Consider the following 15,889-nt stretch of genomic DNA (forward strand, 5'->3'; position numbering starts at 1 on the left):
TCAACATATTGGAATAATAGTCTCAACAATGCAGAAGCCCAGAAAGCTCCTTTTTTTGCACTATATATATCCCAATATTTATCTAAACATATTATATCCTCGAGGCCTCCTATACTATTCTTCGTGTGTGTGTGTGTGTGTGTGTTTTATTTAGGAAGTGATTTTTTATTCTTTAGCCATAATTATCCCACACTATTACATTATCACATTTTTTCCATATCTTTTAAATATTAGATACACGATTTGTTAGAAGTTAAAAGGGAAAATCATTCTTTTTTGCTGAATAATATCACATCATATTTAACTTAAAGATTATTAACTTTTTGAATATCAAAAATTGAGGCTGCTGGGAATCCCATTTATTTGTAGGTCCCAAAATAGCCCTGAGGTCTGAATAGGAAAATATCTTTTATAAACTATAACAAAACTCTCACCTCAAAATAAAACACTATGAAATTTACACAATTGTATATGTACTCAGTATCTTCACAATATCCAGAAACCTACTAGATTTTTAGAAATGGCAATGCCAATAGGTTTACATTAAGAAAAGAGAGCTTATATTAAGAGGACCTAACTTAAAACCTGGCATCCTGTGCAGGAATCTGTTCAATCCTTAGAACGGTCATAAAGTCATCTTTGTTGAAAACACAGGTCCTTGGACACCCCCAAATGCCAGGCAGAACAAAGAGAATTCCAGTACATTGGCTTTTATTGTTCATCTGAATGGGGTATAATTTTCAAATTCCTTTGGATGCCCCAAGGGCTCATGGGGTTGCTGGTCATATTTTGGGGCCTGTCATCGCCTTTTGCAGTTTTCATCAGGTGTATCCATAGCTGTGCAGTTCTAAACCAGCTTCTAGAACTTTTGCTCAAAAACTGGTGTTAAGGTGCCTCCATACCTACCTCCCAAAACTTCATAAAGCATCAGGCCAACACGGACCATTGCTTTACCTGATGGATAGCTTCATTTTTTCCTTTTTATTTAAAAACAATAGAGGGATGAGGGATGTAGTATTATGACAAAACTGGTTCCCTCCTATACTAATCTTATATAAGGAGAGTGTGGGTGATTGTTTGCCTCAATCTGTATTTAAGCTCAACACAGACTACTTTTCCTCATCACATATATAAATACACACATGCATATATGTAATACTTACAAATACTTACATTATTCAATGCTTACAAACACTCTATGAGATAGTTACATTATCCTTATTTTATATATTAGACAGTCATAGCTCAGAGAAGTTAAGAAACTTGTTGAAGCCTGTACACCTGGGAAGTGCTAGAGGACTGGACTTAAACTCAGGTCTATCTGATTCTGGAACCTGTGTTTAGAAATTTTCCCCCAGCTTTATTAAGGTATAATTGACAAATAGAGCCTGTGTTTTAACCATTATACCACACTCCCTCATCTAATTTAAAAGATTGAGTTGAACTAGATCATCCTTGAGAACCCCATCTGAAGTTTCTTTGTCCCTTTCCTCTCCCGTCAAGGTCGCTATTGGGGCCAAGGTGGGAGGGTGGTGTTCTGAAGATCTGGGAGCTGAAGTAAAGAGATATGAGGTTCCAAATACCCTCTTTTGCATTTCTTTTTCTATAATCATTTTTCTTTGGGATACATGATAAAGACTCCTACAATGGCATATTAAATAGTGATATTCAGGACTTGTGGTTGCTGCCGCTCATTTATCTTCCTCTTACACAACCTGATATTTTTGAGCTAAATTTTATCCATAGATGAGTAATGAAATAAACAGATATATGACTTTTGGTAAGCATTTGTTCCAAAAGTGTGAATGGTCTAAAAGTGTGGACTATTTCACTAAAGAAAGAAAACTTACACTGAGCAAAAGAGAACCATGTCCTGAAAGAAATGAGTTGAAAAAGGAATAAAATCATCTACTTTTCATTGTATGATCCCTCAAAATACTCTGGACATTACATTTATTCCACTGCAGGCATCTTGTAGACTAAAACAAAGAACACTGGACTTGGAGTTGGAGACCTGGGCTTGATTCTCATATAGACCTTACTAACAATATAACCCTGAGCAAGTGACTAAACCTCTCTCGGCTTCTATTTTCTCATTGTCAAGTTGGAGATTAGAACAGGATCTACCTTAAAGTGTTGTTCCTAGGAATAGATGAATTAAGTCATGTTTTAACAATGCTTTATATACTTATATTTGCATTGGATATTATTACAACTCACCGTGGTCCTGTGCAAAGCCACCAATCTAGTTAACTTTCTTTTAATACTGTGGTCTCTATCTGACTCCATAACACAATCTGTGGTCTCTGACTCCATAACACAATCCCCCTACCCTACCCCAGGCTAACTGACAAAGCACCACTATGATTGTACTAAGAAACAGTCACTTTAGCCAATGTAAGCAGATAGCATTCACAGTGAACTATGGCAATAGTCCTGTTTATGATAGAGAATATCTGGGTGCCAAGAGACCTACATCTAAGCCTCCTTACTGTTTATTTCTAGACGGGTGGAATGATACCAGCCAGAACAGTTGGACCCAGCTGCTCTAGTGGAAAAGGGAAAAATTTTCTGTTTGGAGTCAGACCACACAGGGGCTTGAAACTTGAGATTAAAATAACATTTTTTGTTGTTGTTTTGAACCTAAGAGTGACTGAGAAATCAGTGGAGAATGTGAAAGTGTCACTTTGTCAGTGGTATGTTTTGTACACAAAGAATAGGCCATCATATATCCCATGGTCACAACTACTCATGTTTGGTTAGCCTGTTGCTGGCTGCAAATTTCACATTAGAAAGTCATAACAGAATAGGAAATTGAGGAAATGCATGAGTAAATTAGAATGCTGACTATCTCTTTAGAGATTAGGATGAGGGGCAGAATGGGATGGCATAGCTAAAGCTCAAAATCTAGGGTAAACTGTTGCAGCAATAACAAAACAAACTAAACCATGTAGTTGTGTTGCCATCACTAGTCTAATTATCCACTTTGATTAACCCTGCCCTCTTTATTATCCCTTAAAGTAGTACCCTTCGTATGATCTCTAACAGAAAGATTTAGCTTAGTGATAAAAAGAAAAAAACATTTAAAAATTGTGCATGCCAGGGGAAAGCCAGTAAAATAAGCTAGCCTTGTGTGGAAGTTATATTTTTGGATCAAAATGATTACATTCGGCTTGAAAATCAAATGGTATGCTTGTTTACTAACATATTCTGAGATTTTTTTTCTCCCTGCAGATGTAAAATGAAAAAGGGAACAGGGCTATAGCTAGCATATGGAGGTGATTTGTTCAGATCTACAACTGGGCTAGAGCCATCAGTAACCCAGCTATAAATTCTGAACCTCCTGTATTTTCTTATTTCAAAATATGCTCTCCTCCATTTAAAGACAAAATAAAATCGAGTTGCTCTGAAAGATATCACATAGAGTAGAGAAATATCTCACTGGCAACAGTTAGGACATTGGATTATACCAAATCTGTCTGACTTTAAACTCATGAACTCGCATGTTTAAATCCAACATAAATCGTTTAGTTTTCAAGTTCCCTTAAGCTAGGAAAATTAAGACTTCCTGTTCTTCAGGGAGAAAAGGGGCTTAAAAACTTGAGAGGTTAGAGAATGTCTTAAAGCTCTTCATAATTGAGCATAAATAAATCCAAACCATATGGATTGCATTTCCTTTTTTTACTTTGAACACCGAGGGGAAAATCATGCTTGGCAAACTGATCTTTTTTTTTTTTTTTCCTAAATCCAAATATGTTACTTTCACCCCTGAGTCTCCTTCCCAAGCTGTACTACATCTGGAATATTCTCAGGACTCTTCAGTCTTTAAATGTGCAGCTCCCGTGAGGCCTGTCTTCTTCAAGAAGCCATCCCTGAGTGATTAGAAGAGACATACCAAATGCCTCTTAAACCTCACTGGGTAACATGTAACTTTCAAGGCTCCCCTTTAGTCATTTATGTGTTCATTTATGTATTCTGGTAGTTGTGTTTGCTAAAGGCTTATTGTGTTCATGTATAACAGCTCATGTCCTTTATTCTACATTTAACAACCATTTATTTAACATCTAATACTCCAAAGTTTTACGGATAAATGCCTAGGTTTGCACAGTCTTATGTTGTGCTTAATGACGCAACCCTCTATGGAAGACTAAAGATAGCCCCAGCTAATAATTCTCAAGTAAGACACAGCTGAGGAAAGAAAATTGGAATAGCTCTACCAGAGAAGGAAGTGCCTTAATGATGAGATTTCAAAGGCTCCAATAAGTCTCCTCCAGAAGTATCAGATTCATATGTTGAATTAATAGAGCTATTTTAAAAGACAAATCGTTTTTAAAATACACTAGAGTAAAATTTTAAATCCTGCAATTTGCTTTTTTTTCCCAAGTATCTCACTGTGTTCCACACATGAAGAGGGATACATGTTCCAATAGGGGTAGGAAGGGAATGAGATCTGCGGGTTATACACCCTACAGATTTTTATTTTAAGCTATATTACAGCAATATGGTAATTTGGGTAACATGAGGTCAGAAGGAGGAGAGAGAAAAAAGAAGAGATGGAAGGGTAATTACTTTAGTTAGAATTTGACTTATGTTTTAGGACTTCAAGAGAAAATCCACAGAAAATAATTCACATTTGAAGAAATTTGCCTATAATATGTATAGTATTTATTTTTTATATTTGCCTTATTTATTTCTACAGTGAAACTCCAAGTATTTTGGAGGTTAGGGACTCTCTGATACTTAACTATTTGCCACCCATGTGGTTCCCACCCCACCCTCACCTCAACATCTAACCAAGCCTTGGCCCAGAGGAGACATTAAATTTTTGATTGTTTGATAATAAGGGTTATTAAAAGTTTTACTGAATGTGGACACTGCCCTCAGCACTGTGTTAGGCATTGTGGAAAATAATGCAACACAGGGAGAGAATAAAATGATTGTCACTGTTCTGTTTGGAAAAGCAAAGCCTGTATGTGGAAATAACCAAAGTCATGTATGTCAATCATACAGAATAAACCCAAGAAATTAAGAATTTTCAGGCAAACTCTGTGGCCGTCTAGCACAGAAACATTTTATTAAGTCTGAAGGAAGCTTTAAGCAAATGAAAAGGTCTATTACTTTGTATCGTGGAATTTGAACTTAGGAAACTTGTTACCGTGAAGTTATACAGGCTGAAAATATGTGTACATAGCTTATCTTACCCACTCCATTTCCTATTTTAAAAGACTTTCTCTTCCTCCTTCTTCTTTTATTCAACTTCTGATAACTTTTCTAGGAATCCACTATGGGGGAGAAGAGGAGATGTACATTGATACATAGCTTCAGTGAGTTGAATCATGGTAATATGGAGATTAGGAAGGGGTGCCCAGGGCCCAATATTTGATAAAAAAGGAGGGTAATGCTTGTCTTACTTTGTTTGACATTAATAGGCATATACCAGACACTGTGCTAAGCACTTTACATTAGTCACTTCATTTAATCAACACAAATTTTTGAAGTAGGTACTATTATTTCGTCCATTTTACAATAGAAAAAAATGAGTTTCAGAAATCAAGTGATCTTTCCCCAAGTCACTCAGCTAGTATTCAGTAGAAATAGGATACAAACCCAGACCTGTCTAGCCCCATTTAACCACTTTAGTATACTGCCTTAAATGAACTCACCTCTTCTGAGTCCCAGGGTGTTCCTAAGCCAGAAGAGTAAATGACCACATTGGTTATACCTCAGTCCATGGACTCAAGTAATTATGACTTGTGGAACAGGAATTACTGAAACTATTGAGACAGACTTGAAGTCCTGTCTCTAAAACTTCCCTTTCTAGATGTTTGCTCAGATGTAGCCACCATACTTTAAGCAGAATACGTGAAGAAAATAGGTCAAGTGGAACATGTTGTAAAAGCTGGTCAGAATAATGAGAGGACCCATTGACATATCTTTTGAGGGACAGATGAAGAAATGTGGGATGATTAGTTTGAGAAGGAAATCCTATAGACATGTGATAGTTGTCTTCCAATATTTGATAGACTATCACATGGAAGTAGTATTAGACTTAGTCTATGTAGTTGTAGAGGAGAAATGTTTAAGAACAGATGTTAGAATAAAAATTCTGAATTAACAGAAAAAATTATAAACATAAGGCACAGTTTCATAACATTCTTTTGTGCCTTGAACCCTTTTGGAAATCTGGTAAAGCCTATGAACTTTCCTCAGAATGTTTTTAAATGCATAAAATAAAATGCATAGGATTACACAGGAAATAATTTGTATTTAAATATAATTTTTAAAATTTCAAAAAAATTGAAGATACCTACGATAATTTTATTTATTTATTTATTTAGTTCACATACATGATGCAAGACAGAGTGATAATTTTAAAGTGGTATAAAATATCTGTTTTTTAGGTATTGATAATATGATTAAGTTTTGTTGCCTACATTCATAGTCAGAGAAATATCGAATTTAAGTTAGAAATTAAATAAAGGTATAATATTTTTTTCAGTCAAAGTTTATGGTACCTCTAAGGGATCTGTGGATTCTATGTTTAGATCTTCTGAGTTAGAGGTATCCAATGGTGGAATGCGTTGTCATGAAAAGTTGTGGTTTTTCTATCACAGGAATTATGTTTAAGGAAAGAACATCAAGGATGTTTAAAAAGGATTACTGCTTTGTTTACATACTGGATGAGATAAACTCTCTATTGTGCTAATTCTAATATTCTATGCTCAAAATTCTTTAATGGCTTTTATTATATCTAGAGCAGAGATTTTCAATTTTTTAACCAGGGGATGACTTTCTTCCAAATAAAATCTCACATGATCTTTTAACATATCAAACAGAAAAAGTAAGATCAGTTTGGCTGAAGTGAAAATGGAAGTCCTAGATTCCCACCTGCTCAGCCTCCTTACTCAATTCGCTCTCCCCTCTTCACCTGCACCAATTCTGTTTCTTGTTTGTTTGTTCGTTTGTTTGTTTTGAGACACAGAGTCTTGCTCTGTCGCCCAGGCTGGAATGCATTGGCGTCCTGATCTCGGCTCACTGCAACCTCCACCTCCCGGGTTCAAGTGATTCTCCTGCCTCAGCCTCCCAAGTAGCTGGGATTACAGATGTGTGCCACCACACCCAACTAATTTTTGTATTTTCAGTACAGGGGGGGTTTCACCATGTTGGCCAGGCTGGTCTTGAACTCCTCACCTCATGATCCACCAGCCTTGGCCTCCCAAAATGCTAGGATTACAGGTGTGAGCCACCACGCCAGGCCTAATTCTCTGTGTTTGAATGTGAGATCTCTTCTGAGGAGTCCTAGGGCTTTGTGAAACACAGCCACATGATCAAATACACATTCCTTAAATTAGCATTCAAGGCCTTGTAAAATCTTACCTCACAATAGCTGCTCAACAGAATGCTCATTGTTTCTAAACAACCTACAAACATCCTGGACACCACACCTTTGTTCACACTGCTCCCCAGTCTGGAATGCCCTACACACCCTCCTCCTTGCATTTCCCTAAAGTATAGCCTCTTTAGAGTTCAGATTATGTTCCACTTCCTCTAAGAAGTATTCCCTGATCAGTTACTTTTCACAATTGTTCTTACACTCTGATCCATTTTCATACTTCTCTATATTTGACACAATGTAAGTGATGATGCTTTGATTTTTTTTTCTAATATTTATTTTGTCTCCTCACTGAGGGAGCAGGCAACAAGAGCTCCTAGACTATCTGTATCTCTGAGGTCTGGTAAAGTATCCTGTACACATAATATGCTGAAACAGTTCCCTATGAAATTCCTTTTTCATGTTTGTCATATTTCCCTAAATAAACCATAAGCCTTTTGTAGACAAGGACATTCTTAGACGTTTCTTCTGTCATAATTTATCTAGAATCTAGCATGATCCAGAGTCCACAGGAGACTTCAACTGGCCATGGTAGGATTTGGACAGGAAAGATGTTAGATGTGGGAAATTTAGAAAGAATGAAAATCATGATTTGATGTAGAGAGAGGGGTATCTGTTGTTAGGGAAGATGACAGATGCTAGGAATGAGGTGTAGAGGGGTACTCAAGAGTGAAGGAACAGGTTGAGACGTGATTAGGTAAGGCAAAGAATAAGATGTCAACAAAGAGATAATATTATTCTCAATGAGAGAGATCAACAAGGATTAACATGAAAATTTGATTTGAGATAAAATCAGAGATAAGGCCCTTCTCTTGCCCATCATTCATCAAAGCTCAAACAGAGTTACGCAGTCCAAACACAGAGAATGTCTACTTTGGGGCCTATATTCTGAGTTAAGACTCTGGGTCTTTGACTTGGTCCTCAAATAGATATCTGAGATTTCAAAATTCTCACTTGAAAGAAAAATGGTTAGACGTGGTACCTCTGGACCACTAACATCTTAATGTCTGTTTTCTACCACATGTTCAGAAATCCAATTTAATAAAGATAAGAAGAATAACCATTTGTTGAAGACTTACTATTGTAATACTCTGTGATAAGTGATTTAGATGAGAGAGGGGAGTCTCTACTTTCAGGAAGAGAGTGGATAGAATAAGATGAAATAAGATAATAGGATAAAGTGCTTTCAGGAATCCAAGAAGGGTGAGAACTTATAATAAATAACAATAGCTTACAATGCCCAGTACTTACCCTATGACAGGCGCTGTTTCATACATTTGGCAAATGTTACCTCATTTAATAGGCATAACAACCATTTGAGCTAAGTATTATTTTTCCCATATTAGAGATGAGAAAACAGGCTCAGAGACATTAATTGATTTAAGTTGAAGAGCTGGTGTGAATGGCAGAGTTGAAAAGTCAGAGTCTAAACCCAAGTCAGCATAGCTCCAGCTGAAGCTCTTTACTGTGACTTACACTGCCCCAGTATATTGCTATACTGTCAAATATTATTACTAGTTTCTTGGGAAGAAAGAAAACAAAAGAACTCATTCAGTTAAATTGCTAATTGTATGTAGAAATAGAGGCCAGGAAGTTTGAGTGTAATAGAAAGCCAGAAAATTTCAAAATCTTACTTGAACCAGATGTTTTAGTCTCTTTTCCCATCATATTTCAATACCTCTCCCAAGATTTCTGGAGACACTATAAAGAAATAGCTAATAAGTTGCCAATGGAATTTTGTGGTCTTTTCATTTAATTCAGGTCTTGGGAACAAGAAACTAACCAACCATTAGAGTAGATATCTAGAAAAGAAGAGGGTGATTTACAAGACAGGATAACTCAGTTGGAATAATTAGAGGGTGACTGGCTCTTTATTTATTTAGGCTGAGGGATGCTCCAAATAGGAGGTTTGTGATTCGCACTGGGTCAAAAGAATTCTGCATTTTCTGTTTCTGAACACCATATTCTAAGAGCAGCCCTGTCTTTGCACTAGGCCAGACATATCAGAGGGATTCGCCTCAAGCTCTCAGTCAGTAAATCCATTGTAATTTACCTCAAGAAAAGATACACAGGTCTTGACAAGGGGCTTTTGTGCTTCAGGTACCTATTTAAAACGTTTATACATTATGACTACAGTCAACAATAATTTATTATACATTTAAAAATGACTATAAAAGTATAATTGGATTGTTTGTAACACAAAGGAAGGATAAATGCTTGAGGTGATATATACCCCATTTACCCTGGTGTGATAATTACACATTGTATGCCTGTATCAAATATTTTATGTACCATATATATATATTCATTTTTGCCTGTATGTAGTAGGTATATACATATATATATGTATATACCTATATATATATATAATAGATGTATATATATAGGTATATACTGGTATATATATATATACACACACACACACCTGTATATATATATAGGTGTATATATATAGGTGTGTATATATAGGTGTGTATATACCTATATATACACACCTATAGATATATATAAACCTGTATATATATATACACACAACTATATATATACACACACCTATATATATACACATACCTATATATATATACAAGTATATATATAGGTGCATATATGTGTATATACATATATATATACACACACCTATATATACATATGTGTATATATAGGTATATACCTATATATATGCACCTATATATATATATATACACACACACAGGTTTTTTTTATATATATATATATATACACATCTATATATATACATACAGGTATATACCTATATATATATGTGTGTGTGTATATATATATATATATAGGTGTATATATATAGGTGTATATGTATAGGTGCGTATATAAGGTGGTGGATATATATATATATACACACCTTATATACACACCTATCCTATACATATACACCTATATATATATACCTACTACGTACCCCCAAAAATGAAAAATTTTTAAAAAGTTTTATACAAATTTGAGCTTAAGGCCAATTTTTGAGCACGCATTCGGTGAGATGGCTCCAGCTTGATATCCAGGGTGCTTCACAGCAAACAAATTTTCTTCATCAGTGCTAACTACTTCGTTCTGATCTTTTCCTACCTATCCACACCCTTAGATTATCTTCTTAATGGATCAGACACAGGCATACCCCCTTATAGGTTTGTAATATTTTCTGCAATGCATAAAGTACCTCTTCAAATCTTTACCAAACCACTCTGTTTTTTTTTTCCTCCTCTGCGTTCTTAATAATCCATTGCTCCTTTTCTGACTGACACACATTCACCCCACCCTTCAAGTACCTTGAGGGCATAGTACTTCCTTTTTGGCAAGGTAAAGTTGACATTTGTTTACAAATAAAGCCATCACTTTTCAGCCTGAAAATGAGCTCATGCTGCTTCAGGGAAGAGAGAAGAGAGCACATATTTCTCAACCTGGAATGCTCTGCTTTCTTTTTTAAATCAACTTTATTGAGGTAAAAATTATATGGAGAAAAAAGCATCCATTTTAAGTGTACAGTTCAATTAATCTTGACAAATGTATACGCCTGAGTAGTTTTAGCTCCTCTCAAGAAATGAATCATAATATCATCCTGGAAAGTGCCCTCCTACCCCTTTGAAGTCAAATTCCCACCGTAACTCCCATCTTTGAACAACCGCTACTCTCTTTCTATTATTACAAAATAATTTATTCTGTTTTAGAACTCCTTTATATATATGAAATCATACAGCATTTACTTTGTTTAATTTGGAGTCTGGAGATTCATTTATGTTATTGTGTATATCAGTAATTTATTTTTTTTTTGCTTACTAATCTGTATTTCTTTATAGAATATGACATAATTTATCAATTTTATATTGATAGACATTTGAGTTGTTTCCAGGTTTTAGTTATTATAAATAAGACTGCTATGAACAAATGAACAAATGCAAGTCTTTTTGTCGTTGTACACAAAATATCCAGATATAAAATTGCTGAAGTCATAGGGTAGATGTGTAATTAGCTTGATTAAAAAAATTGAAAAAAAAAACTTTTCTCCTAAGAGGTTGTACCATTTTGCATAGTTCAAAGAGGTTGTACCACTCTTATCTACAATGTACAAGAGTTCTAGTTGCTTCACATCTTCACTTTGTTGATGAAAAAACCAGACTCCAAAATATTTTAAAGAGGTTTGAGTCAATATGAATGACTATGTCCCGAGGAACACAGTCTGAAGAGATCCTGAGAAAGTGCATCTGCAGAAGTTAGATTACAGTTTGGCTTTATACATTTTAGGGAGGGAGGAGTTACAGGGAAAGTCATAAATCAATACATGGAAGGTATATGTTGGTTTTGCCCCAAAAGGTGGGATATCTTGAAGCAATGGCCTGCAGGTTATAGGTGGATTAAGAAATTATTTAATTTGCAGTTGGTTAAAGGAGTAAAGCTTTGTCTAAAAATTTGGAGTCAGCAGAAAGGAATGTTTTAAGATAAGTAATTCTGTTAACCAATACACTGGGTCAGAGTGACCTGTAGGGGTATGTGACTTAATCATTGTCTGGCATGGCCTTAGGTCCTGTTTATAATTTGGTATTTTATTGTCACAAAGAGTCCATTTAGTCTTATGATCTCCATTTTTACTAATTTTATTAATGCTAGTCAATTGTGCCTAAACTCCAAAACCCATCATGGCTGGGAATTCAGGTTTTATGGTTTTTCTGGGGTCCCCTTGGCCAAGAGCGTGTCTGTTCAGTCAGTGGGGGGCTTAAGATTTTATATTTACTTTACAACTTGATAGTGTCACTCTTTTGTAGGGGTTGAGAGAAAGCTTTCTCTCTGCCCACTGAAGATTCACTGAAAATGAACTGACAAAAGGCAGATTAATAGGAGAAAAAGGCATACACATTTATTAACATGCCTAAACACAGAAGCGATACACAAAATATGAGACTTACAGAGGGGCCCTATGGTTGAGGCTTAAATACTGTCTTTATATGGGAGAGATGTATGGACTCAGGAGACAGACATTATTTTGTACATGATTCTATTTGGAAGCTAGATGGACAAGGTTAGGGGCAGAATTACATAGGAACAAAGATTGTCTTTTTATGCAGATAAAGCCCCCCTCCCCTCTAGGAAATCTCTTAGAGCTGCCCTCAGAAAGACAGATGAAACATTTATCTCAGTGTGATGATGACCCCCAGTTTCTTCTCTTCTCTGTGGTTGACCTTTCCTGGTTATTTGATGAGATTCCTAGAGAGGTAGTCTTAATACATAATGCATTTCTTTTTGGAAATAAGCTTTCTTAGATAAGGAAATTTCAGAGAGAGTCTCCCCCAGTGCTTCTGGAAAGAGGATCAGAGAGACAGAAAGGCAAGGGAAGGTCAGAGAGAGCCCTTGGTTCTGAGGCTTATTTCTGAGACCTTTCCACTTTCAAAGTGCTTAGCGTCCTAAAGAGCCATATTTTGGGGAATTATTTTCTGTACCCCAACACTTTTTATTTTTAGCCATTCTGGTAAGCATACATTTTTATCTCATTTTAGTTTTAATTTATATTTATTTGAAGGCTGAAGATGTTGAGCTTCTTTTCATGTGCTCATTGGTCATACATATATCTTCTTTTATAAAGTGTTCAAAAGTCTTGTGCAATCCCCACCCCACTTTTATTAGGTTGTTTATCTTCTTAATATTGAGTTGTAAGAGTTCTTTATATATTTTGAATGTCAGTACTTAGTCAGATATATGCATTATGAATATTTTCTAATGTTCAAAATATACCAATAAGAAAATAAAAATGCAAGTCTTTTATTGGAAGAAAATGTGGTTTCCAGCTTCATCCATGTCCCTGCAAAGGACATGAACTCATCCTTTTTTATGGCTGCATAGTATTCCATGGTGTATATGTGCCACATTTTCTTTATCCAGTCTATCATTGATGGACATTTGGGTTGGTTCCAAGTCTTTGCTATTGTAAATAGTGCTGTAGTTAACATACGTGTGCATGTGTCTTTATAGTAGAATGATTTATAATCCTTTGGGTATATATCCAGTAATGGGAATGCTGGGTCAAATGGTATTTCTGATTCTAGATCCTTGAGGGGGTCTTTGCTATTTTTTTTTTTTTTAATTTCTGTCTGTTTTTAGATATTTGACTATGATGTGCCTGAGTGTGGTTTTCTTTATACTTAGCCTACTGGAGTTTGCTGAGCTCCTGGATATATAGGTTATTGTTATTCACCAAATTTAAGACATTTTGAGCATTATTTTTCAAATAACTTTCTGCCTAATTCTCTCTCTCCTTGCCTCTGGGGGTCCAATTACATGCATGTTTGAGAGCTTTGCATTATCTCACAGGTCATTGAGGCTCTTAATTATTTTCAAATCTTTTTCTTTGTTTTTCAGATTGGGTAATTTGTATAAATTTGTATTGAAATTCACTGACCCCTTTTTCTTCTAACTCCAGTTTGCTGTCAGGCTCTTCCAATAAGTAGTTTTATTTCAGATATTTAACTTTTAATTTATAGATTTTTAAATTAGTTTCTTCTTTATTGTTTTTATTTTTCTGCTGAGATTTTTCTATTTATTCTCTTATTAAAATCATATTTTTCTTTATATGTTTGAATATAATTTAACAGCTGCTTAAAAACCCTTATCTGTTAATCCCAAAATCAGAGTATACAGAGATATTTTAATATTGATTGCTTTTTTTCTTGATTTAGGGTAACATTTCCTTCTTTGCATATTAAGCTATTTGTGTTGCTAGATATTTTGGATAATACATTGTAAGAAATCAATTTTGCATATTCTCTTCCTTTAAATAATGTTTCATTTTGTTGTAGCAGTCAGTTAATTTGCTGGCAGTTCTACTTGGTTTTGTGGAGGCTTGGTTATAGGCTTTCTTAGGGTGTGTTTATAGAGTAGCTGTAACCCTACAGCATGGACCCTTTTTTAATGCATGGCCTTTCTGTTGCCTTAGCTGAATGCTAGGAATTGGATTGGGGTCTTGTCACTCTGGCTACAGTGCCACTCTGATATTTTTTAGCACTGTGCAACCTCTAGAATCTCTGTTCAACTCTCAAATCCATGACAATTTCTTGTTGCTAGGTCTCACACAGTCGTGCCCCACACATCTATATCCTAAACCTTGGCCAGTGACTTATGGGAAACTCAAACAGAGATACCTGTGAACCCTTCTGCATAGCTCCCTCCTCTCCAATATCCTACCGTGAACTTTAATATTTATCTTCTCAGCTCAGCAGGACTGTCTTGGTCTGTTTGAGTTCTACTTTCTTATGTCTTTCTCAAGAAATTTTTCCAAGTCATAGAACTGACATGAATATAGGGCTCACTTTGTATGTTTCTTTTTTCTTGGTGACCAAAGTCCTGTACTACCTATTGTTCAGTATCTTAAAACATTTTTTTTTACATCATGTCCAACTTTGTGGCTTTTCTAATAGTGGGAGAGCATGTTTGGCATTAGCTACTTCATCATAAGCAGAGGCAGAAATCTCCCTGCATTTTTATGCTTTAGCAAATTTGTTTCCAATTATTGTTAGTAGTAGTAGTAGTAGTAGTAGTAGTCACCCATTTAACAAATTAGGAGATGTTACATGAATGAGCTAGGATTCAAACCTAGGCCTTCCAGTTCTAAACCCCTGTGTTTTCCATTACATTGTGCTGTCTTTCCATTTAAGTCATTTTCTAGTTTTAATTTAATAGGTGCTGAAGATCTACCATTATACCCCAATTTCTTGCCCTATGATCTAGCACAAAAATCTAAAGATTTCAGTGTCTTAATATACTTTTAAAAATGTAAATATCCATAAATGTAGTTACAAATAATATAGCAGTGTCAGAAACATTTGAACCAGAGTGACTCCATTTTGAGTGAGGGCTAGGAAAATGAGGCTGGGACTTGCTGGGCTGCATTCCCAGAAATTTAGGTATTCCTATCTTCTTGATGTTTATGGTTAAGGGAACAGATTGATAATGTTTACTAAACAGACCCAGACTTGGGAATGTCCAGATATCCCAATATCTCAAGAAGAAAGGCATTCCTAATTTTGCTTTAAAGATACTAATAATGATTCTTGCAAAATATAATAATTAAGAAAATTAATCCTTTATCACTTGTACCTAGGGTGGACGCATTCCTCCTCTTACTTTCAGGAATGCCCACACTCTGTATGGAGTAGATGTTCTTTCACTACTTTACTTTCTTAATAATCTTGCTTTTGTTTTGCACTGTGGACTCGCCCTGAATTCTTTCTTGCATGAGACCCTGTAACATCTTTCTGGTGAACCACGGAAGGGACGATACTGAAGAGACCCCCAACTGAAAGGAAAATCATCTGTGTGCACCAGTTGGCTGAATTTGGGGCACTATTATTCAATATGTAGATGATCTGTTGATTGCTAGCCCAACCAGAAGAGACTCAGATGAAAATACCAACAGGTTTCTAAATTTTCTGGTAGCTAATGGGTATAGTGTCTCATGGCATAAAGCCCAGTTTTCAACTC

Source organism: Homo sapiens, chromosome X (genome assembly GCF_000001405.40).
Source record: "Homo sapiens chromosome X, GRCh38.p14 Primary Assembly".
Classification (NCBI taxonomy): domain Eukaryota; kingdom Metazoa; phylum Chordata; class Mammalia; order Primates; family Hominidae; genus Homo; species Homo sapiens.